Below are 27,096 nucleotides of genomic sequence, written 5' to 3' on the forward strand. Positions count from 1 at the left end.
AGGAGACATCTCAGCGGAGATGGATCATCCCTTACCTGGAAATGTATTGAGTATAGAATCCATTCTCAAGTGCTTCTGAGCAGGCCAGAAACCCAAGAAACACACGAGGAAAACTCCTTTCTTAATAGCTGATTTTTAAGATTTTATTTTGTCATTTGCTTCCTATGGGAGGCTTGGATTAGAAGCAAGAAAAAGCACAGAAGTAAAACTTCAAGAGAAATTTTTAATAGCTCAAAAGGGGGAAAATAGGGTTAAAGGAGTGGAGAGTTGAAAATTTTTGGAAGGGTAAAAAAGCTCTCCAACTTTCCAGCACCATTTATTAAATAGGGAATCCTTTCCCCATTTCTTGTTTTTGTCAGGGTCGTCAAAGATCAGATGGTTGTAGATGTGTAGTATTATTTCTGAGGGCTCTGTTCTGTTCCATTGGTCTATATCTCTGTTTTGGTACCAGTACCATGCTGCTTTGGTTAGTGCAGCCTTGTAGAAAGCTGAAACTGGATCCCTTCCTTACACTTATACAAAAATTAATTCAAAATGGATTAAAGACTTAAATGTTAGACCTAAAACCATAAAAACCCTAGAAGAAAACCTAGGCAATACCATTCAGGACATAGGCAGGGGCAAGGACTTCATGTCTAAAACACCAAAAGCAATGGCAACAGAAGCCGAAATCGACAAATGGGATCTAATTAAACTAAAGAGCTTCTGCACAGCAAAAGAAACTACCATTGAAGTGAACAGACAACCTACAGAATGGGAGAAAATTTTTGCAATCTACTCATCTGACAAAGGGCTAATATCCAGAATCTACAAAGAACTCAAACAAATTTACAAGAAAAAAACAACCCCATCAAGAAGTGGGCGAAGGATATGAACAGATACTTCTCAAAAGAAGACATTTATGCAGCCAAAAGACACATGAAAAAATGCTCATCATCACTGGCCATCAGAGAAATGCAAATCAAAACCAAAATGAGATACCAGCTCACACCAGTTACAATGGCGATCATTAAAAAGTCAGGAAACAACAGGTGCTAGAGAGGATGTGGAGAAATAGGAACACTTTTACACTGTTGGTGGGACTGTAAACTAGTTCAACCATTGTGGAAGACAGAGTGGCGATTCCCCAAGGATCTAGAACTAGAAATACCATTTGACCCAGCCATCCCATTATTGGGTATGTACCCAAAGGATTATAAATCATGCTGCTATAGACACATGCACATGTATGTTTATTGCAGCACTATTCACAATAGCAGACTTGGAACCAACCCAAATGTCCATCAGTGATAGACTGGATTAAGAAAATATGGCACATATACACCATGGAATACTATACAGCCATAAAAAAGGATGAGTTCGTGTCCCTTGTAGGGACATGGATGAAGCTGGAAACCATCATTCTCAGCAAACTATCACAAGGACAAAAAACCAAACACCGCATGTTCTCACTCATAGGTGGGAATTGAACAATGAGAACACTTGGACACAGGAAGGGGAACATCACACACTGGGGCCTGTCGTGGGGTGGGGGAAGGGGGGAGGGATAGCATTAGGAAATATACCTAATGTAAATGACGAGTTAATGGGTGCAGCACACCAATATGGCACATGTATACATATGTAATAAACCTGCACGTTGTGCACATATACCCTAGAACTTAAAGTATAATAAAAATAAATAAATAAATAAATAAATAAAAAAGCTCTCCAACTCAGTCTTTAAAAAGACTGCATGTGTCTCACAGAAACTTTCTTTCTTAAGTGAAAAATAACCAAAATATACAAAATTATTCATATATTAAGGCTGCCAAATGAAGGTTAACCACTCGAGACTTTAAAGTGAGTATTTTATGTTCCTCAATCAGGGCAATTATTCGACAAAAATACCCAACATACTTATTGCAGGATAAACATATTTATTGTGTGCTAATAATTCAGTTACGTGAAACAAGATCCTTCTTGTAAGATGTTCATCTGTGCAATGGGAAACAATGTCCAACTCATGACAGGACAGGCCTGAGATAAGCAAGTGTTCACAGAAGAATGAGCAAGACCAGGAAGGAACTAGTGATTTTGACTGGAAGAAGAGATTAGGAGAAGGCTTTAGGGAGTAGCTGGCATTTGTGCTGTATCTTGAAGGATGAGTAGTACATTTTGACAGCTGGAGAAAAGACAGAGAAGCGCATTACATGTGTAAAAATTGGATGCTTCTTGACGACATGACGACTAGCTGTGTGTAGTCAGAGCAGGAGAAAGTGGAGTATTCCAGTGGCCAATTGGGATGAAAAAGATTGTCTGCAATCAGATAATAAGTGGAATAAAACATAAAATCCTTAAAAACTTTACAGAGGAGATAACTGATATGATCAGAGACATGTTTTACAGGGAGCAGTTTGAACGATGAATTTTATTAGGCAGAGTCCATAAATTAATAAAGTATTTATTAAGTAAACGATTAAGCACAGATATTGGCAGATCCTCCTCTTAGACAAGAGTGAGCAATGAAAAGAATTTTTTAAATGACATCATGGTACACATGGTTTCTTATTTTTGAAAACTATTTCTTATTTTTAAAATGTTGTAAATGTCATCAAATCACCAAATGCATCTATTTTCAAAATCCTACATAAATTTTCAGTGACATTTCCAATCTGTATTCAACTTAGCATACACTCTTCACTTCATCTATCAGAAAACAGTAGAAATGAAACTGAGCAAAGGTGACAAGGAATAGTGAAATCCATCTATTTATTATACAAGCATTACTGAGAGTCTACTGTATATCCAGTACTATGCTAGTCACTGAGAATATAGAGATAAAAGACATTATAAAGTCCACAACTTGAAGATATTCTCTGTTATGTATGGGAGACCGTAGAAGAGAAAGCAAGGAGTAGGACAGCATTACGTAAGTTACTGATAAAGACAACCAGAAAAGAGAATGTAATTCTGAATGTAATTCTTTCCTTTGAACTAAACTAAATGGTATTCTTCGCTTTGAAATTCCACAAAGACTGGGAAAATTATCTATTTTGAACCCTGATGTCTTCCTAGTACATACAATACTGGCACATAAGTTTTCAATGAACAAATATTTAGTGAGCACCAATTATCCATCAGATTCTTTCAATGGTGAGAAAATGGTTAGAGTTAGGTTTAAGATTATGATTATTATGTTTAAATTTGAATCCTAATCCTACTGCTTACCAACTGTAACTAAATTTTCTAATCTGAAATAAGAATAATAATGGAACTTACAAGTCTGCTTTGAAAATCAAATGAAATAATGTACCTAAACTTTTTAGCACAATATCTTTCATGTGAAATAATGAATACACTATTAATTAATGTATTCAATAAGATTGATGGAAATGAGATAAACAGAAAAATTAATAGACTATTAGAATATAAACAAGATATAATTCCTGTAACTATATTAGATATAATATAGGTGGCTTCCTGATTTAGTCAGTCCCACTGGCTCTCCTTGTACACTTGCTTGACTGGCCCTATAGAGGTTGTGGCTTGCAAGCAGCTATCTGAAGAGGCCAGATACTGCATGTCTTGATCAGTTTGAACTGTTATAACAAATAGACTGGACGGTTTAAAAAACAAGCATTTATTTCTTATAGTTCTAGAGGCTGCGAAGTCCAAGACTGAGAACCAGCAGATCCAGCGTTTGGTGAGGGCACTCTTCCTTGTTTTCTGATGGCCACATTCTCATTGTATCCTGACATGGTAGACAGGAAAGGGAGGAAACAACCTAAACACTCCCCAATCTCTTCTTATAAAGCCACTAATCACGTCAGGAGAGGGCCGCTCTTGTGATCTAACTAATCACCTCCCACAGGTACCATCTCCAAATATCATCACATGATGGATCAGAGTTTCAACATTTATGGTCTGAGTGGATATAAACATGTAGTTCATAGCAAAATAAAATGAATGTGTAGAAGAATAAAGGCTCCAAAGGACAAACTTTGACCATTACGGGACAGAAAATGGGAAGAAGTCCTTAGATAAATTCCTCACTCTTCTTCTTTAACATCCTGTGTGACCAAATGACCAGCTATAAAAGGAGATATATCGTCTCACTTGAGAATTCAATGCATCAGCTCAGGTGTCTATCAAGATCAAATGTATACAGATCTGCACAGGTGAATAATAAACTGGGGATGTGATGACCCAGTGGAGACCGCCTGTTCCAGGAGTGAAAACACAAACCTCTCACTGTTCTTCAAAATGACTGCAAACTACTCTGTGCAAACTACTCCTAACTGATTAAAAGTGAGTTGCAGACAGTTAATTCCCACCATTTCACTTCTGCTCAAACTGCAGGTCGGTGGTTTTTCACTCAAGCAGCTTTTCCCACTATTATAATCTTTATCAATGCCTAGGTTCACGAGATTTGAAACTAGCTATTAAATGAGTTGTTTCATATATGGAATTACTCTAAGACTAATTGGTATATACCACCTACTATGTGCCAGGCATGGTACTACACAAGAAAGAATAGATTCACAAATAAAAGACTGAGTTATATATTGCTAGTCCCATTAGCAACTGACCTTCAATTTTCACTTAACAATCTCAGAATTTCTGCTTCCTCATTTATAAAAAGGAATGATAATATCATTGATGTCTAGGTGGCTGTGCTTATATATAACCAGCCCACAAAAAATAAATTATTTTATGACACGTTACATCTTTCTTTTTAAAAAAAATAAGAAATGAAGATCTCATTTAGTTGTAAATTATTAACTACTTTCAGCAAATCATTAGTCTCCAATTTCTAAGTAGAAAACTTAAAACATGAAAAAACTGGAATTGCTCTGCTATGCTAATTTTAATACAAAAATAAAATTTAAACATTAATCCCATTACAAGCACACATTGTGTTATTAATTTTAATCTTTTTAAATTTTATTCATATTGTACCATCTCTAAAACACAATCAAATGCATTGTGACCAATCTAATAAACACATCCTCAGTCCACATTTAAGAAAAAATTGTTAGTGTCTTATTTTCTGATGTGAAGGAATAAAAGCTAATTAAGTCATAGTTTTGTTCTTACTTAGTCTAAAGTTAAGTGCAATGAAAATTGGCTACTTTCAGTCTCAAATTAATAAAATATATAGAGAAGTTATGGTTATGAAGAGATCATTAAGTATTTGGTGGGGGAGGAAGTATGAGGTAAATTCAAAATTATTATCTTTTAAAAGTTGCTACTATTTAAAAGAGTGTCCCAAAAGTAAATAGCGGCTATTATTTGTTAAATATTCTTTCTTAATTTCTGGCACTGGGCCATAGATGTGAGGGGGTCAAGGGAGATCACTGCTAAGATCTTTCTAGGTCTAAATCCTATAAAATCAAGAAAAGAAAAAGAAATGTTCTTATTCAATTAACAAAAAACTGGACAAAGCCCATTTAGTGGTACCATTTAGAAATCCTTAAAACTCCATTTCTTTTAACAATATTTATTTATACTACATTATTCTACATTCAGAATAATGGAAATACTATCACGTTTAATGACACAACTTAAAGAACCTACTATAAAGCCATTAATGTAAACATATTTTGACTTAACAGATTAATTAGAATAAATTTAACAAAATATAGCTAGAAATTAATTTTAATCACTGTGCCTTGTCTCTTGGTTGCAAGCAAATTAATAATATATTGACTTTACAGTTTACTGAGGTATGATTAATGGTCAATATTAAAATTTCTAGAGTCTTCTGGCAAAGTGAAAACCTGACTGCCTAACAAACGCTCACACATACACACATCTGAATGCAATAAATCAGAGTTACTGAAGGTAAGCCCTGTGAGATGGCCCATCTGGTCAGGCCTGGAAGTGTCAAGTATTGTCCCAAGCACTTTAAGCTGCCAGCCTCTTTATCAGCCACTCTCTTTCCAGTCACGCTCCTGTTCAGGTCTTTGCTACATGCTCTGCTGATTACCTTGGAAAAGGGCAATGCTGTAACTGTTCAACTGACCTTTCAGTTTATTTTCTCTTGTGTAATATGAAACATGAGCTAACACAGTCTTAGTCTACTGATTTCTAGGAAGCATTCTGACTTAATGTTTCACCAGCTCTTGGCTCAAATAACACTCTGCTCTTCTGTATTCAGGTTTCTCTTTTTGGAAAAATTACGTGGCAAAGACCAGAGGTATGGGCTAGACAGACAGAAGCTTTAGGTCCTCTGCAAGGTGGACCACATCTGCACAGTAGTATGCTCCTGAGAATGTATGGTCAACTAACTTGCTGAGAAGCAATCCCAATCTTTTAAGTCATCACTAGGATATTGTTCTTAATGTGACTTTCATTGTATCCATGAATAGTTTCAAAGTGATGATGCTTATGTCTTTTCTGTCTTTCAATATGGATGTTACAGTTACTCAAACACTGTCAAAAATGCTATCCTCACCACGGGAAAAACAAAATGGAGAGGGAGGTTAAAGAATCGAAAGGTCCACACTCTAGACCCAACTCTAAGATACTAGCAATGTGACCTTTGGAAAGATGAATATCCAAAGTTTTAGGTTCTTCTTCTACAAAATGAAGAAGTTGAATTGAAAGGTTCCATCCTATAATCTATACTCTAAACTTCTTTGATTCTTATTTGGGTGCTAAAATTTTCCCAACCCAAAAAGAAAAAAAATGTACCCCAACACAAAGGTTATTTTGCACATTTCCCACAAAAACCAAAAAGTACATATTTTACCATGTACAAGAAACATGTTACATTTATATTTTTTCTTAAAATAAAATGCAGGGTATAAACCACTTATGAAATATAAAAGACACAGGAAATTTTATTTTATTTATTTATTTATTTATTTATTTATTTATTTATTTATTGAGAAGGAATCTTACTCTCTAACCCAGGCTGGAGTGCAGTGGCACAATTTCAGTTCACTGCAACCTCCACCTCCTGGCTTCAGGCGAATCTCCTGACTCAACCTCCTGAGTAGCTGGGACTACAGGCGTGCGCCACCACGCCTGGCCAATTTTGTATATTTTAGTATAGGTGGGGTTTGACCATGTTGGCCAGTCTGGTCTCAAACTCCTGACCTCAGGTGATCCACCCGCCTCAGCTTCCCAAAGTGCTGGGATTACAGGCGTGAGCCACTGTGCCTGGCCAACACAGAAAATTTTAAAAAGAGAAATAATCTGGACAGAAAAAATAATAATAATTTATAAATATTACAAATTGTAAATTATAATGACCAGTATCTTATGGAGTACTTACTATGTTCCAGGCATTGTTCTAACTTACAAATGAAAGCTTACTTAAGCTCTCACAATAACCCAACACCGGGAGAAGTAGCATTATTCCTATTGCACAGATGAGAAAACTGAAGAGGTTAAGCAATCTTGCTCAAGGTCACACAGCTAGTCTGTGTGTGAAGCTGAAATATAAACCCAAGATTTTACCTCCAAAGCATTGGTCCTTGACCATTCTTAATATCACTCCAATAAGTTTGTTTTGTTTGTTTTGTTTTGTTTTGTTTTTTGAGATGGAGTTTTGCTCTTGTTGCCCAGGCTGGAGTGAAATGGCACAATCTTGGCTCACCGCAACCTCCGCCTCCTGGGTTCAAGTGATTCTCCTGCCTCAGCCTCCCTAATAGTTGGGATTACAGGCATGCACCACCACACCCAGCTAATTTTGTATTTTTGTAGAGACGAGATTTCTCCACGTTGGTCAGGCTGGTCTCAAACTCCTGACCTCAGGTGATCCGCCCACCTCGACCTCCCAAAGTGCTGGGATTATAGGAGTTAGCCACCGCGCCCTGCCCACCCCAGTAAGTTTTGCAGTTTACAGTTTACCAGCTGACTTAATCTTGTATACTCAGTTTAAATTACTTGTTACTTAGCATGTCTTAAATAATTTTAATAAGTTGAACCATTGAAGAAAAAAAATTCTGCTCTAGGTAAGTGTGATACAACTGGTCAAAAATAAAATTGGTGGAAAACTCACTTGAAAAACATTAAAATGTATCACTTACAGTAAGTGAACAAATTCACAAAGTATGTTAACTTTTCCTATTTTATTTTTGGGATTTCGGTTTTTTTGTTCGTTTGGTTGGTTGGTTTTGAGACAGAGTTTTATTCTGTCTTGCAGGCTGGAGTGCAGCAGTGTGATCCTGGCTCACTGCAACCTCCTCCTCCCTAGCTCAAGCGATCCTCCCACCTCAGCCTCCCAAGTAGCTGGGATTACAGGCACGTGCCACCATGCCCAACTAATTTTTGTATTTTCAGTAGAGATGGGGTTTTGACATGGTGGCCAGGCTGGTGTCAAACTCCTGACCTCAAGTGATTCACCTGCCTCAGCCTCCCAAAGTGCTGGGATTACAGGCATGAGCCACCATGCCCAGTCTTATTTTATTTTATACAGTCAACAAAGAGAAAGAGACACATATGATTTTAATTGCCCAGAGAATTTTTATTTGGGGAGTGTTCCTGTCACAATAAACTTGAATTAATTGATCTGAAGCAAGATCTGGAAACAAATACTTTTTGAATATATAGTTTAAAACATAGTTTGAAGTATTATTTTGATAGGTAGTTTGAAACTATATATCAGAGATATAAGAATTTATATCTTTATGATATATAGTTTCAAACAAGATGGTTATATCAATAGTAAAGTAAAAACTAACAAACACTAATTTTTTTACCTAAAACAATAATCAAAGATCAGAAAACTGATATAAATTGACACTTTGCATATCAACAAACCCAATCACACTTATGAATTTATTAAATATAGCCAGAGAGCCATGGATGTTAGCCTTGTGAATGTTTTTATATTAGGAACAGGATAAATGAATCAGTTATCACTTTGACAATGGCATAGGACACACTACATTAAAATATATCAAAGAATCTCAGGAGATATATATATTTCCAACAACAAAAAAATCCACATCTTTTGGACTAAATAGCAGTGAAATATCAAAGATCTATCAAACACTCTGACAGTTCTTTGCCTTTACTGAGAGAGACAAAGGTTTCAAAATTCTGTCAGGCACAAAACTACAAAGATCATAAGAGCTTTCATAGTGGCTGCCTACATATTGGCAAGATCTCTTTTAATTTATAAAAATTCAAGCCTTATATCTATATCTATCTATCTACATATATATCACATTGTATAACATATGCATATACACACATACACACACGCACACACTGTGTGTGTATGTGTATGTGTGTGTGTGTGTATATATATATATATATATCTTATATACACAAACCCATTGATTTTACAGCCAATAACCTAACTCCGATGAAACAGAATAGGTCTGAAAGCACAGGTACAGTTTGGCAAGTACAGTGGTCCTCTGCATTGTGTGCATGTCTCAATTTATTACATCTCCTCCATTACCTATTTTATTCTTTTAACTATTTACCCAAATTGAAATTGAGATAAGGTATTTAAATGTTACTGAGCAACTCTACTCTGTAGGTCTTGTAATGATGTAATGTATGAATGTAAAATAACACTGATACATTTCACTTACCATATTATCAAGTTCCTCACCAAATGAAACTACTATAACCAAGAGCATAATGCTACAAGCAGATTTAAAAGAAAACCCACATGCACACGTATGTTTATTGCGGCACTATTCACAATAGCAAAGACTTGGAACCAACCCAAATGTCCAACAATGATAGACTGGATTAAGAAAATGTGGCACATATACACCATGGAATACTATGCAGCCATAAAAAATGATGAGTTCATATCCTTTGTAGGGACATGGATGAAATTGGAAACCATCATTCTCAGTAAACTATCGCAAGAACAAAAAACCAAACACCGCATATTCTCACTCATAGGTGGGAATTGAACAATGAGATCACATGGACACAGGAAGGGGAATATCACACTCTGGGGACTGTGGTGGGGTCGGGGGAGGGGGGAGGGATAGCATTGGGAGATATACCTAATGCTAGATGACACATTAGTGGGTGCAGCGCACCAGCATGGCACATGTATACATATGTAACTAACCTGCACAATGTGCACATGTACCCTAAAACTTAGAGTATAATAAAAAATAAATAAATAAATAAATAAATAAATAAAAACACATGAAAAAAAAAAAAAAGAAAGAAAACCCAAAGCTAAATTTCATGTAAGTACAACTAAATCTGTGTGCTAATAATGTCATACTGATACTTAATTTAGTAGCCTATTCAACATCAGTAAAATGGAAACTTTAAATTCACCTAAGCCTTGTATTGCTTATGGGGAACAGTTTTTCAATTCTGTGATCCCAAAGTGCTCTGACCAGACATACTGATACAAATAATTACTGTTTTGGCCTATTCATAATTAAAACAAGTGAAATAGTGAACTCACATAGGCACCTCATTACTTATGGGTCAACCTTTCCCAAGACTGAGTTCACGGAGAGCTTTGACCAAACTGCTCAAATGGTATATAATTATACAGTATTATAAATTTATCTGCTGACATATTTTCCCTACCAGATTATAGGTGCCATAAAGCCAAGGATCATGTTTTGTTTAAAATTATGTCCTCAGCATCTAGTACAGCAACCATTAAGAAACAGAGCTAGAACAAATGTTTCTCTCAGCATGTTTCACCATGAGATGCTTGTAAGAGTAGAAAATTTCTTAACAATCTGGGGTGATTTCAATAACTGATACTGATTATTGCATTTACTATGTACCTAGCATTGTGCTAAGTGCCCCCCAAACAACATCTAATTCTTTCTATTCTGTATGTTAAAAATTCTGTACTTGTTGCACAAATGAGGAACCCAAGAATCAGAAAAGTTAAGCTACTTTACTAAGGGCACTCAGCAAGTTATTAGCAGAACCAGAATTTTAAAAGAGCTTTTTATTTTAAAGTACCTTAAAAACAGTAATCATCATCATTGTAATAACTTGTAACAGTGGCTAATTCAACACAATTTCAAATCCCTCTTAAGAATTCTCAAAATTCTTATGGGAAAACTTAGCCGTTAGAATTAATACTCATGTATAATATTTTCAAATTATTAAGCACTGCCCATGCGTATCACAGATATTATGTATGTGACATTCATACATTTAATATTGAAGTGTTGGATCTACATTTAGTGACATAAAAAGATGTTCATGATACACTAAGTGCAAAAAAGAATCAAGTTTAAAGGGTTGCCCATTTAATTATGGATGTATACTAATATATAGAAAAGTTATCTGATACACTGTATATCAGAATGTAACTATGGTCTCTTGATAATGGGGTTAATGATTTTTCTTTGCTTTTATCTCTGTTTTTCTATTTTTTCCTACTATAAACATACAAAGACAAAATATTAAGTAAATTATGAAAGGATCTATAATATTACTTTAAAATTTATTATTTAAAAATAATTTAAAAGTTTTAAGGTAGAGCATGTTTAATCAAATTGTCTACTTTAAGAAAAGTTTGAAAGTTTATTGAAAAGTAGATGAGGAAGAAATGAGGACAGCCAAATAATGAAAACTTATATCTCATTAGCAAGTCTACTGTTCAAATCACTGTAATAGTAGTCATAACTGTCCTAATCCAAAATATGGCCAGCTAAACCTGACCATTCTGCTGAAATGGAATGTATGAGACCCTTCAAGGCTTCGATGGCTCTGTCTATATTCAGTTTTCCCACCCCCTTTAACCCACTTATTAACTCATTCAAAAAATGTTTAGGCTCTAGGGTATGTGCATGGGCACACACACGTGTGTGTGTGTGTGTGTATATATATATATATATATACACACAAGTAAATATATATGTACTTATATACACATATATAATCTCATACTTGCATACATATAATCTATTCAAATCTCTAATACCTAATCAGATATCTAACAATAGTAGGCACTCCTGAATAAAATATCACTGGAACAAAATAAAAATGAAAAAAACGTGGTACCTGTCTTCAAGAAATTACAGGTTGGTAAGGCTTCTCTAGTGTTATTTGCTCATAGTGTCATATCCTCAAGGATATAACATATCTAAAGCTTTCTGATACTTCCTTATTCATTTTCCAAATGTCAACCCCACCCTATACCAGAAACTGACATATATCCTTGGTATTAAATAAAAGTTGTTTTGTTTTTTTTTTTTTGTATTTTTAGTAGAGAGGGGGTTTCACCATGTTAGCCAGGATGGTCTTGATCTCCTGACCTCGTGATCCGCCCGCCTCAGCCTCCCAAAGTGCTGGGATTACAGGTGTGAGCCACTGCGCCCAGCCAAATAAAAGTAATTTTTAAAAAGAAGTCTGCAATATCAAAGATGCCATATTTAAATAAAAACTACCACAGAAAGGACAGTAAGATAAACCATTTAATTTTTTCACCTTAGATTTTTTTCTTAAAAAGAAATAGTGAAATACATCTTAAATTACTTCACTGCCTGTTGCACAGAGAATCCCAGTGATCGATCTATTTTATTATTGTTTGCTTCAATACCTATTTTCCTTCTTTCTTCTTACTTCCAGCAACATTCTCACAACCACGCTCACAAACAATAAATACTAAAAGTAGTGGCACTGAAGCATGACGTACTCATTCTCTGCTAAGACTGGTTACCACCAACGCACAAAAGTCCAGCTCTGCACCCTCAAGAACAACATTATTTCCATTTAAAAACTCCCAGAGAAGACAGAGGCAGCCATGTAATTATGTATCTGCAGCCACTCTATCTGCTTTGCTTCCTGCTCACGGCCAGTATGCAGTACTATGAAAAGCATTAGTCATGCGGCCTCAAAAATCAACTTCAAAATCAAAGCTTGAGCTTTGGTCCTGTGTTTGCTTGTTTTGCTTTCTTTGTTTTTATTTCTAATCCTTGGAAAACACAAGGTTTCAAATTCCCTCCCTTTAACTTGCTACTAGAATCAACACCTAAACAATAATTGTACCCCATCAAGAACTGGGCAGCTCAACAACTGCTGAGAAAAGTATATTTGACATTTTTCTCCACAAGACTCCATTCTCAGTTCCTGTACTGGTTCAGTGAACATGGCTATAATTGAGAAAAGCCCAAATGCAACAAAAGATTCATTCCACAGGAAATATATATGTTTATCTTTAAAATATTTTATATAACTCACTTTAAGTGGAACTAGGTTTGTCTCCAAATTCACATTAAAGGTCGTATTTACAAGCATTTTCTTATTAACATTCTAAATTTAAAAGATGGAAATGCTTCCCAATATGATAATAAGTGCATTAAGATACTGTTCACTAATTATTTCCCACAGTTCTATAGTACCAACATGTGTATTAAAATTATGATCTCTAATCAAATTCACCCCTGCTCCAAATCTTTCTAGTCAATAAAAAGAATCACAGATTTTTCAGGAAGGAAAAACCTTTTCTGAAGAAAAATAAATAAATAAAAGCTCTAACTCACTACAAAGTATTCCAAAATTTCTATTTCCCGTTTCCACAGCTCCTTTACATCATTCCAAACCCCTTTAATAGTCACAACATCTTAGCTTAACAAACAGTGATTTAATGATTTCATCCTTATACATGAAAATGTGATGTCTTTCATTGAAAGAAAAGAAATTTCATTCACCAAAAGCAAAAATTAGTTTTACTAAAAATAAAAAAATGCAAATCTAAAATTTGAAAAAAATAAAAAATGTCTTCATATCTAAGCCCTCTAAAATAAAATGCTAATCACATAAAGTCTATAAAGCCAACAACTGCATTTAAACTTACATATTACTCTCAAAACGTGTGTTTCTGTGTTGTCCATCTGCATCTCACTCAACTGAGCTATTTGTCGAAATCAAGATTTCTGAGATGCTTGCCAAAATGCCTGTTACTGGACTCAATTTTTGGACACAAGGCCTACAAATAGACATATAAACAAAAAACCTTTTCATATAATTAGTATGTACACTAAACTCTTTTAAATGTCTGCTGGTAGACGTGTTGCTTCTGTACTCTACTAAAGGCTTTATACACACTGTCACAGGCTACGCTAAATTTATATTTAAACATTTTTTATTCTTCAATAATAAATTAACCTTAGCTTACAGTAACTTTTCTATTTTATAAACTTTTTAATTTTTTCTTAACTTTTGGACTCTTTTGTAATAATATGTAGCTTACAACACAAGCAAGTTGTAAAGCTGTACAAATATATTTTCTTTCTTTAAATTTTTATTTTCTTTCCTTATATCTTTTGGCCTACCCCGGGTCAGGATTATCAATATCACTGTCTTCCACCTCCATATCTTGTCCCACTGGAAGGTCTTCAGGAGCAGTAACACACATGGAACTGTCATCTCCTATGATAACAATGCCTTCTTCTGGAATCCCTCCTGAAGAGCCTGCCTGAGGATGCTTTATAGTTAATTAATTTTTTAATATACATAGTAGTAGTACACTGTAAAATAACAATTTAAAGTATAGTATAATAAATACATAACTGGTAACATGTATTATCATTATTAAGCAGTATATACTGTATATAATTGTATATGCTCTACTTTTATATGACTGGGAGCACAGCAGGTTTGTTTTCATCAGCATCTCTAGAAACACATTAGTGCATTGCACTATGGCATTATTGGTGATGTCACTATGTGATAAACATTTTTTCAGCTTCATTATAATCTTATGGAACCACCACTGAAGATGTGGTCCATCATTGACTAACAAATCTTCAGTGGTTATAACTGCATATAGAAGATTCTAAGCAACACTGGGGCATGACATGAGCTGTGTTTCAAGCTTGTACCAACAGAGGGATTCTTCCAAATGTTCCAAGCAGTCATTCCCCAGAGTTGATGATGCTCTCTTGGCTTTGGGCACCCAACAAAGTGATGCCCAAAAATGCTCAACATATTTCTTCTTAATAAAGGTTACTTAAACTGATAATCAATAGGCCTTTTTTTTTTTAGCTTTTTAGAGGAATATGAACCACATTAATAACTCAGTTTTACATGGTGTCCCAAGTTTGATAAAATTCAATTATATGTATTTTTCATAAGATCATATTTCTCCTTTCAGGATTAGAATCTCTAACAATACATCCCCCTTCAATCCCCCTTCAGGATGTTGCTCTTGAGGGTGTGGGAGCTGGGCTTTTGTGCTTTGGTGGTAACCAGGCTTAGAGGAGAATGAAGATGAGTACGTCATGCTTCAGTGCCACTGCTTTTAGTATTTATTGTTTGTGAGCGTGGTTTTGAGAATGTTGCTGGAAGTAAGAGGGAGACAGGAAATGGTTATTGAAACAAACAGTAATAAAACAGATCTATCACTGGGACTCTCAGTGTAACAGGCAGTGAAGTAATTTAAGATGTATTTCACTGTTTTTATTTTTTTTAAGAAAAAAATTTAAGGTGAAAAAATTAAATGGTGTATCTTATTGTACTTTATTTGGTAGTTTTTATTTAAATATGGCATCTTTGATATTGCAGACTTTTTTTTTTTTTTTGAGATGGAGTCTCTGTCTGTCTTCAGGCTAGAATGCAGTGGCACAATCTCAGCTCCTAGCAACCTCTGCCTCCCAGGTTCAAGCTATTCTCCTGCCTCAGCCTCCCAAGTGGCTGGGACTACAGGCATGCGCCACCATGCCTGGCTAATTTTTGTATTTTTAGTAGAGACAAGATTCCACCATACTGGCCAGGCTGGTCTCGGACTCCTGACCTCGTGATCTGCCCTCCTCAGCCTCCCAAAATGCTAGGATTATAGGCGTGAGCCACCGTGCCCGGCTGATATTGCAGACTTCTTTTTAAAAATTACTTTCATTTAATACCAAGGATATGTGTCAGTTTCTGGGGTGGGGCTGACATTTTGATTATGGGTCTACGTCATGGTGACTTATTCAAAGTTAGTAATGATGGGTGGAGGAGGGTATGGGGTCCTGTTTCCTTTTGTTCTCTTCCCTAAGGCAGAAATGATACCCATAGTAACATCCAGTCAACCTAATTTCCACACTGAGACAGTTCAATGTCCAGGATACTTGATATTCCTTCATAAAAATATGAAAATGCAAACATGCTTAATTCCTGGGCAAAATTCTCTTCATAATTCCTTTAATCCTGCAAATGTTACACATTTTCTTCCCTTGGTGCAATATTTGTAAAACTTCCTAAAAGGGATCCACGGATCTTATCACTATTGAAGAATAAACAAAAGAGTCACAAATTACTAATCTACCATGAGAAAGGGGAAAAAATCATTAATCATATGGCATCAGAAGATCTCTAATCCTACAGATGAGAATTTGACCAAGGCATTCCTAGAACAGCTACTTTTTAAGAAGGGTTATCAATCCAGACTTGTTAAATTTCTATACTTTTTAATTTGAATTGTTATAGATTTTGGAGGCACAAGTGCAGATTCTTACATGCATACATTGCACAGTGGTGATGTCTGGGCTTTTAGTGCACTGAACAAATTTCTGTAGTTAAGTGTTTACAATTAACTAATTATGAATCAGCTGTCAATTAGCATTCATTGCATAATGTAAAGCCAAATGTCTCCAGTGCAATTCTTCAAATTATGAGAAACTTTAACAAATTTCAAGCTAAAGTACAAAAGAGAATATGAATGTCAATATAAAATGAGACTCCAAGTAAAAATAGGGAAAAAGTAGGCAGTATATTTTTAAGCTTCTTTTGGAAAATAAATTCATGCTGAATAAATTGAAGTGACATTTGGTTTCTCATAATTCCAGCCTGTCCTGATGGCCTCCAAAGTAACAGATTCTTAAATGTAGCCTTCTTTCTCTAAAACTGACACCTAGCCAGAATTGCCAAGGCAAAAGATTATTTTTAAAGCTGCTCCTATAATATTATTTAGAATCAAATTATATAATTATATAGAATTATCAATTAACCCTCCCAATTACCAAAAAGTCAGCAATAAAAATTGGTTGCCTGGCAGTACCTATTTTATTTGTATACAGATTAGCTGTTCAATCATTAACATTATAAAACATGACAAATGAACCAAAAGATATAATAATACTGAGGGTAAAAAAAACGATGTCAAACTTCCTGAATTTAAAATGTCTCCTTGAGCAAGAATCTGCCTCATATACATATCATAGAATCAAAAACGTCTGTCATCCTAAAGATAAGTAAATGTATTGAAAGTAATTTAAACTCTGTAAAAGGAAATACAAAAACTTAGTAATTTCTGAAGTAGGACTCCTATAGAAAGGCATAAGGAGGAACTATAATAATGCAAAAAATGATATAATCAAATTATAGTTATATACTTTCTAGTTACTCTGACCACAGATCTATCCTAACAGAGATAGATAACAAAAATAATGCAAAATCACATCATCCAACTTTTCCTCTAAGAGCCAAGAGAGGCAGGTAATAACAGAAAAGAAACTGGACACAGTAAATGTGGCTAGCAGTGGATAACCAGTCTAGTCTAGAGCTGAGACCTTTAGTTTAGCCATATATTGCAATGGATTATACAACAAAAATATATTCTAATTACTACTGGAAAGAGAGGAGGAGGAGAGAGGGGAGAAGAGAGAGTGAAAAAAGGACAAGAAGAAAAGGAAAAAGAAAGAAAAATCCCTGACAAAAGAAAAGTACAATGTGAAAGATCAATACAATGAAATTAAATCAAATTCTAATCCCAAATCAAATCACTACTGCTGCCTTCTTATACACAAAGATGTATAACAGAAAAGCTAATTAAATGTTTCTCATTAAAATTCTTCAGTGTTCAAAGTCTATCAAGTATCGTCCATCTGCCCCTCCAAATTCACCCCCCCTTTTTTTTTTGCACACCACTCTCTGACTCAAGAAGCTGGTATGTGGGGACTGCATTAGAGTATCCATGCTTTTCTCTGTAGACAGCTACTCTCTCTGAAAAGCAGTTTTTAGCTTACTAGGTGCTAGCAGAGATTAACAGCCTGCCCATTAAATATTAAGTGACTATTTAAACTGCCTGTTTGGAACTGATTATTATCTGTTCTATCAAACAAACCCTCAAAATGAACTTGCAAAATGGAATTCCACTATAAAATGGAAATAGTATATACAAGACCAGACCAAAGCATGTTTAGAAGGCACAAGTAAACTAAACTACCCAAACAAGTGACTTGAACTCCAAAGTCACTTGTTCCTACTGTTTCCGCCTCTCCCTTAAACCCACAGGTTTGGTGTCATGGGCAGGTCCCAGTGGCCAGGAAGTTAAGAAGGAAAATGCATGAGCCTGTAGAACAGCTCCATCTGCACAGTATGCCTGCATAAGCTAGGAGTGAATTGTAAGCCCACTCAGTGACAGCCTCTCCAATGAGCAGAACTAGGTTGTACATGTGGTTTTCCACTTTGGAATAAAAAGTAACTAGAAGTACAGTTCTACATTGACTTATGAGCTAGTAAGTGCAAGTTCTGGCAAACAGGGCATAATCTTGGGAAGAAAGTAACTTAGAAATCAGTGACAGGTATTGACCTCTAGGAAGAAGTACAGAGTAGGATGATATTCATGCCCATATAAATACCCATCATAGAACACACAGGCAGGAGTGGCCTCTTAGACATCAGATGAACACTGATGGTCAATTCAGTGGATGTCAGTCAGCCAGTTTCCCCAGCCAATACATGCTTTGCTTATGTACAAAGCTGCTAGGGTTGCAAGAATGGATGCTATCCATGGGTTCATGGTCTTTCCCTCACCATGTTCTTCCCCTCACCATATCTGACTACCATATATGCTAAGCATGCAGCCAACAAAGAGCAGGATGCCCCCATAAACCTCAGAATGTTACCATTCTATGGACTGATCAACCAACTGTGTGGGAGCAGGCTGATACCACTGGATACCCCACATGAAGGAAGGGGAATATTTGTGTCCTCCCAAGAAGAAATACTTATTCTGGGTGTAGATTTGTCTTTGTTGCCTACAGTGTTTCCAATGCCATCAACAGACTTAACTTATCCTTTGTCAATTGCTGTGTTACATGACACAACAGGGCCTGTGACCAGAGGGCATACTATATAGATGATGAGCTTACACTCAAGTAATTCACTGGTATTACTATGTGCTCCATCACCCAGAAACAGATGGCTTTATAAAATGGTAGAAGAGTCTGCTGAAGTCTCAATTATAATGATATTGGGTAGGAAACAGCTTGACGGGTTGAGGTTCTGACCAGTAAGATACAGTATATGCTTCAAACTAGCAGCAAATATATAGTGTTATCTCCCCATAGGCAGAATGTGGGTCCAGGAATGAAACAAAAGAGGTGGGACTAGCCCTTTTCACTGTAATAATTGATAAGCTACTGGAAGAATTTTGCTTCACTCCCCAATTTTAGGCTTGGTGAGTTTGGAAGTCCTCATGTTCAAAGTGGGGAATTCTTCCACCAAGGAACATGATCATATTTTCAGTTAATTGAAAGCTAACACTACTGTGTGGCCATTTTGTGTTCTTCATGTCACTGAAGCGTGGAAAGAAAAAAAGCAAATTGGGTGGCAGTTTCACAACAGAAGCCAGGAGGACTGCTGAGAATCAGAAAATATACCAGAAAGCCTTCTAGTTTCAGTAAAGGAAAACTGCAGCAACCTAATAAAAACACAGCCGAAGACTGAGATCCTGTAGGAATGAAACTCTTAAAGGTTAACTTCATAAAGAACCCCGTGTAGCCAATACGGAGGCAGCTGTGATTACAAACTGAGCCTTGTGACCATCTACAGACATGGAGTCTGTAGCAAATATGTTTATATGACTTAAGCCAGTTATTTTCTCTGTTTTGCTGTGCTACCTTATATGAAGAGTACCAGTGGTAGCCAATATGTTATGTTTCAAGTAAGGTATAACCGGTTTTACATCACTTGATGATAGGGTAGCTGATGGGACTTTGTGGATTACCTAAGTCAGGATCCCAAACTTTTAACCCTGAAAAAAGGTAATATAGGCTGAGAGGCAAAGTAGAAAGGCTGTACCATACATCTTTAATTTTACATCTTTAATTCCAACATCCTATACCATTTTCTGCCCTGGGAACCCAACCTCTATGGACTGTATCACAGACCTCTGGCCTGAGCAGGGTTTGGCCATTTGAAAGGTCCAGGAAGAGATCATGGAGAAGTGGAGTAGATCACGACACTTATTCTCCAGGTCCCTCCCTGCAATTGAGTTGACTATGTCCCCTGAACTAAGATCACTGCTACTATCAAAATGGATGACTGTACATGATTTTCTTGTTTCACATTAGGTGAATGGCTCCTTCTTTTATTCCTTCAGGCCTACAGGTATTAGCAACTCAAAAGCTAAGCCACTGGAATTATCCACTATGGATTCCCTATTACCATATCTTTACAAATACTCACTTTATAAATTAATACTCCTTAGATGATAACATTTTGATTGTCATTTGCCTCCTGTTGAAGCCTGATATGGTTTGGATTTGTGTACCCACCCAAATCTCATGTCAAATTGTAATAATACCTAATGTTGGAGGAGGGGCCTGGTGGAAGGCGACTGGATCACAGGGGCAGATTCCCCCTTCCTGGTCTCATGATAGTGAGTTCTCATGAGATCTGGTTGTTTTAAAAGTGTGTAATACTTCTCCTTTCACCCTCTTCCTCCTGCTCCAACCATGTAACACATGCCTCCTTCCTCTTCACCTTCCGCCATGAATGTAACTTTCCTGAGACCTCCCCAGCCATGCTTCCTGTACAGACTGCAGAACCATGAGCCAATTAAACTTCTTTTATTTACAAGTTACTCAGTTTCAGGTATTTCTTTATAGTAGTGTGAGAACATACTAATACAAAACCCTACATACATAAGTCTAAAATCTCTTCTTAATTCCCAAAAAAACACTAATTTTTGTTTCTAATTATTATACAAAAACTATTGTAATGGGAAAAACAAAAACAAAACAATAACAAACAAAAACTTCAGACAATGATTACATCACCATGAAGACAATTGTCTGCTTTGTTTATTCCTATAGCCCAGCACCTAACACAATGTCTGACATATACTAAGCATTAAAATATAGTTGTTAAATCAACGAATATACATAACACTATGAGAATTACATTAAGCCACGTCAAAAAATAAAATGAAATAGAAAGGCTGCTATTAATCAAGATGACTGTCCCTCAAAAATATGATATACTAGACTATAATACAGCATATTTTATATTAGGCAAACATATGCAGCAAGTCCACATCCGACTAAAATCCCAGATTCACATATATTAAAAAATTCCAAATAAGTGTGGTCTTTGTCCTTACAATCTATGAGATTTATGCATTTAAATCTGCAAGCTATAAATATTGAAATCCAAGCTATAGTACTGTCCCTATATCTAACTAAATGATAACCCGGGCCCAGGTCACTTAAATTTTTTCCTATTGTTCATTCCAAAAACTTTGAAGTCACCCTTGATTCTTCTCTTTCTCTCACATCCAATCCACCAGGAAGTGCTTTTGACTCAGCTTTCATAACAGAATCAGAATGAATTCAATTTTATAATTTCTTACCATCACTCCTAAGATACTGATTCAAGTCACCATCATCTCTCATTTGGATCACATAATAGCCATAACTAGTCGTCCTGTTTACATCCTTGCCTCCTACAATCTATTTTCAATATAGTCACCCAGAGTAATCATTTTAAGTCATAAGTTCATGTCATTTGTCTTCTCAAAACGCTTCAGTGGCTCCCCATGTCACTCACAGTAAAAGCTAACCAAAGTCTTTACAGCAATCTACAAGTATTTGTGGTGTCATCTGATCCTTCCTCCCTTATCTTTCTTAATGTCCTTTCTTACTGCTCTGTCCCTAGCTCATTCTGTCCCATACAAACTCTTCTATTTGCTGTTTCCTGAATACTCTAGGCCAGGGGTCCCCACCGGTCCATGGCCTGTTAGGAATTGTGTCGCACAGCAGGAGGTGAATGGCAAAAATAAACACAAAGAAGCTTCATCTGTATTTATAGCCACTCCCCATTGCTTGCATTACTGCCTGAGCTCCACCTCCTGTCAGATCAGCGGTGGCATTAGATTCCCATAGCAGAATCTAACAGGGTTCACATAGAACCCTACTGTGAACTGCACATGCAAGGGATCTAAGTTGCGTGTTCCCATGAGAATCTAATGCCTGATGATCTGTCACTGTCTCCCATCACCCCCAGACAGGATCATCTAGTTGCAGGAAAACAAGCTCAGGGCTCCCACCAATTCTACATTATGGTGAGTTGTATAATTATTTCATTATATATTACAATGTAATAAAATAGAAATAAAGTGCACAAAAAAAATGTAATGCACTTGAATCATCCCAAAACAATCCCCTGCCCCCCATTCATGGAAAAATTGTCTTCCACAAAACCAGTCGCTGGTGCCAAAGTTTGGGGACCCCTGCTCTTGGCAAACCCCTGTGTAGAGGCTTTTGCACTGGCCATTTCTTAGGTCTGGTACACTCTTCCACCAGACAGTGCATGACTAATTCCCCTGCAGGTCTTTCCACAAATGTCAGCTTCTCAATAGTTCCTAACCTGAAATACGCCTATTTAAAACTGCCCCTCCACACTCAATTCCCGTTTTTATTATATTCTTCTATGTTTTCTTTTTGCCATGGCATTTATCATCCAATATTTGTGATGTTTATTGTGTATCGCCTGTCTCCTGCTGCTGGAAAGTAAGCTCCTCAAATGTATGAGCTTTATAGTCTCCTTGTTCACACCTATATTCCAATTATCTACAACAGTACCTGGCTCATAGTAAATACTCAATAAATTGCTGGCATGGATTCTGTTTCTACACTTGAACAAAAGGTGAGAGTTGTACAAATTTGCCTTTCCTATCTATATAAGTACTTATTTTCTGAAGCCATCTATTATTTTGCTAAATACAAACAAGATTTTATTTGATTAAGAGCATTAGGTATAATCAATCATAAACAACTTGAAGGCAAAAACTCTGGTTTATTTCTAAAGTTTTCCAAAATAACTTTTATTCTTACTTTTATATATAAAGCATTAAACTACAGAGTTGTATTTGTAAATGTTATGTTAACTTTTACATATGAAAGTATGTGTGTAAAATAAATACACTAAATTTCCTAAATGTATTTTCCAGTTGAAAAACTTCAATTAAAAAAATCTCCATTCAAAAATGAAGCTCAAGTCAAAACGCTACAGAGAAATTTGTATTTTAGAGGTCTGATACTGTGTAAGTTGTTCAAAGCAAGTACCTTCTTTTCAAATTACTATCAAGTTCTTTGTTTTCCTTATTTAATTAAACACAAGTCATTTGGGGAAAAAAACCTATAGACTCAATAGTGTTGAATCAATATTTGAACACAGTATTAAATTAAGTTTTGCAAGATTACCAACTTTAAAGCACAGAGTTTATCATCCAACATCTGGCACGTGTGAGTCCTACTAAACCACCTACTTGCTACTTCCTGATCATCAGATTCAAAAGCATGTTTGCTTTAGGGTACTAGTTTGAGATGTTTTCTACATATCTAGATGGTCAAGGTCTCCATGAGCCATATTATGATGAGATCAGAAGACTTTTATCACCCTGCCCTAAAACAATGAAGGTGTTCAGTTCTTCTCACTAGCTGAAGACAATGTGCCTCTAATCTAACTGGCACAGCAAGAAAAAAAAGATGCCGTATCAGTTGTGGCATTCCAGGTGCAAAGGACTACAGGAGTCACCCACTTTCTGTAGTTTTAGTTACCTGAGGTCAATGTGGTACAAAAATATTAAATGGAAAATTCCAGAAGTAAACATTCATAAGTTTTAAACTGTGTGTCATTGAGAATAGTGTGATGAAATCTCACACTGTCCCAGCTCCATCTCACCTGGGATCTGAATCATCCCTTTATCTGATGTATCTACACTGTCTATTTTACCTGCCACTTAGTCATTTAGTAGCTATCTCAGTTATCAGATCAAATAAATAGTATATGTAGGGTTCAGTACTATCTGCAGTTTCAGGCATCCACTTGGGGGCCTTGGAACATATCCCCCATGGACATGGGGTGACAAATGTATACTGATACTACATTTTGGAAAGCAAAGCAACTAAGAGTCACTCTCTGATTAGGATTATGTTACTCCATATTTGATCTCCAAGATCCATTCATCCAATCAGCAAATCAAAAAGAGATGTTATATTCTCCACTGAGATTGAAGTCTTTGAAGGTAGCCCTGCTCTGTGCAATGTTTGTAGGGATGTAGCACTGCTTAAAGTTTTGTCTTTTGTTAGTGAAGGGCAGTTTCAGGGGCTTCCACTTAGTCTTCCTAAATAGTCCTCACTCCACAAGGGGTCAATGTGAAAATTCTGCCAATTTCCAGGCTTGATGCAATCATGCATTCAGGAAGTGGGAAAATCACAGGACTAGTCAGCCAAGCCACTGGACCCATGGCGATGCGGATGCAGCTGGAAGTCAATTTTCCAGGCGACTTCCATAAGCCTTGACTCGAACTGATATGCCAGAGTGGCACTGCGGTCCCCCCAGGGATTAATCCAGGACCCATTTTTATTAATTTTCAAAAGTCTGGGCTTTTTCCCAGTAAACAGCAAGTCCCTTTAGGAAAGCCTTGGAAGATTTAAAGTGTACATTTGTGGTAGTATTTCATGTCCTTTCTCAAGGGAAATCAGTCTCACCTTCAATCAAGGGGCTCCAAAGGGCTCCTATTATCAGTAGCAAATGTCAAGTTTCTACTCCACACAGCTAGAATTTCCCCAGTTATAGAGATCAAGTAAAAATATGTTAAATGGCCAATTTATTGTATGCTTAAGGACATTATAACCAATTAGCCACGACCACTAAAGGCTGCATTTCAAAACACTGACTGCCACTCCACATCTAAGCCTACTATGAAAATGATAGCTACCTTATCCATGAAGCCAAAGCACTGCCAAAAAAGCCCTTTGCCACTCCAGAGCCCCGTGATCCCCACTGAAATCAATTCTAGCTCAATGGCAGCATATCCCAGTAAGATTTCCCAGCTGAGAGATACCATACAGGTCTGCTCCCCTCACCAAGACATTTCTCAATTCTTAATCATGGGTATGTCCTCTGGAATCTCAGAAGGGTTGGAGTGAGGAGGTACAGGAGAGGACTGCATATAATAAATGTATTGTGCCATTTCACTTTCCTCCTACCTGCACAGCTAGAAACGTTAAGGGATCTCAACCACATTGAAATGTTGGCCATTGCTGAACCCAAGTTTGAATCAAATAACCAGGCAAATTGCTGGAGCCATTTCCAGGTGCTGAAGTTAACACATTAAATCCAGACTCCTGTTAACAACACTCCTATACATAAATTTGGCTCCATCTGAATTAAGTACACACATATTTGTATGTTGCATCCTCCTTAGTCTACTTAGAATTCAACCCCACAAGTTACTTCCAGATTGCTGCTAATACAAATTAGCCTGCTACCTGATATGTCAATTATCCCCGTGAAAGACTGGGATCTGGCTCAGTTTTAAACCGGAAGGAAATGAGAGGTAAATGTACAGTTAAAGCACTAAGAGAATAGTATCCCTTTGGCTACAGGGCTTCCTAAATATCTCCAGCCTCTGATTTATTCCTTCTTAATCTTAATATCTGGCAACCTCTCAAATCAGAATTTTTAACATTTACACAACCACCACCCCAACTAAGCTATTAAACCACCCATCTAGAGTACTGCCTCTCAACGACTTGAAAATGTAATTGTTACATACCATTCACCCAAGGAAACTGTAATTAAAACATGAAGCCAATAAAATGTTATAAACAGATTTACCTTTTTAGAAAACTCATTCTTGTAACTCTATGCAGAATGGAAGAAAGAGGATGGAGTAGTAGAAGCAGGAAGGCTGGTATTAAGTTGTATCAGACATTGGTGGCTTTGGACTAAGAAGCTAGCAGTAAAGATGTACAGAATAGCAAAATTCAATAGGACATAAATGATGGATTGGTTGGACAGGTGAGGAGGAGAAAGAGATAATAATAACAGATTTCTCCTGAGTAGAAATAATGCCATTAACTAAGAGAGAGATGGTAATCTCCACGTGTAAATCAGAAGGCCAGAGAAATGGTCTGGGGTATAGATATAAATTTTGAAGTAAATGAATATTTATATATATATTTATATAAATATATATATTCATGTACTTCAAAATAAATATTTATATAAATATATATTTATATATATTTATATATATTTTTATATATATTTATATAAATATATATTTATATATTTATATATATTTTTATATATATTTATATAAATATATTTTTATATATTTATATAAATATATATATTCATTTACTTCAAAATTATATATATATAAAAATTTCATATTGATATTTAAAGCAATACTACTCAAATGTGTGCCACAGACCACTGCTGAGTCGCCAACTGTTTGTCACTGGTCCATGATAACATAAGTACTGAAATTGAGAGTAAGCATTTAGAGACTTTTATAGCAGTTTTACAGAGAATTTTTGTATGTGTTGAATCTAATTTAAAAACTGGTACTTTTATGTCTTCTTTTTTTAAGTTAATTTTTCTAGTAACTCATTTTTGTTGAATTTTATGTATCAGTCTCTCGTAGATTAAAAATGTGTGTTTTTTATTTTTTTATTTTTGTTTATTATTATACTTTAAGTTTTAGGGTACATGTGCACAATGCGCAGGTTAGTTACATATGTATACATGTGACATGCTGGTGCGCTGCACCCACTAACTCGTCATCTAGCATTAGGTATATCTCCCACTGCTATTCCTCCCCCCTTCCCCCACCCCAAAACAGTCCCCAGAGTGTGATGTTCCCCCTCCTGTGTCCATGTGTTCTCATTGTTCAATTCCCACCTGTGAGTGAGAATATGCAGTGTTTGGTTTCTTGTTCTTGCGATAGTTTACTGAGAATGATGATTTCCAGTTTCATCCATGTCCCTACAAAGGACATGAACTCATCATTTTTTATGGCTGCATAGTATTCCATGGTGTATATGTGCCACATTTTCTTAATCCAGTCTATCATTGTTGGACATTTGGGTTGGTTCCAAGTCTTTGCTACTGTGAATAGTGCCGCAATAAACATACGTGTGC

At 36.1% G+C, this 27,096-nt stretch overlaps 1 protein-coding gene across 2 annotated transcripts in view, besides 1 other annotated feature; it reads right to left on the reverse strand.

Moving 5' to 3' along the window:
• GBE1 (1,4-alpha-glucan branching enzyme 1) overlaps positions 1–27,096 on the reverse strand; it is a 271,943-nt gene that overhangs the window by 221,422 nt on the left and 23,425 nt on the right. The window lies entirely within an intron of this gene.
• Positions 1,934–2,228: a silencer, noted in NCBI's record as "tiled region #13148; HepG2 Repressive non-DNase unmatched - State 15:Elon". NCBI's record gives its function as "represses a minimal TATA promoter and a strong SV40 promoter by Sharpr-MPRA in HepG2 cells {active_cell/tissue: HepG2}" and the evidence as "EXISTENCE:reporter gene assay evidence [ECO:0000049][PMID:27701403]".

The sequence above is a fragment of the Homo sapiens genome, chromosome 3 (assembly GCF_000001405.40).
Source record: "Homo sapiens chromosome 3, GRCh38.p14 Primary Assembly".
NCBI lineage: Eukaryota > Metazoa > Chordata > Mammalia > Primates > Hominidae > Homo > Homo sapiens.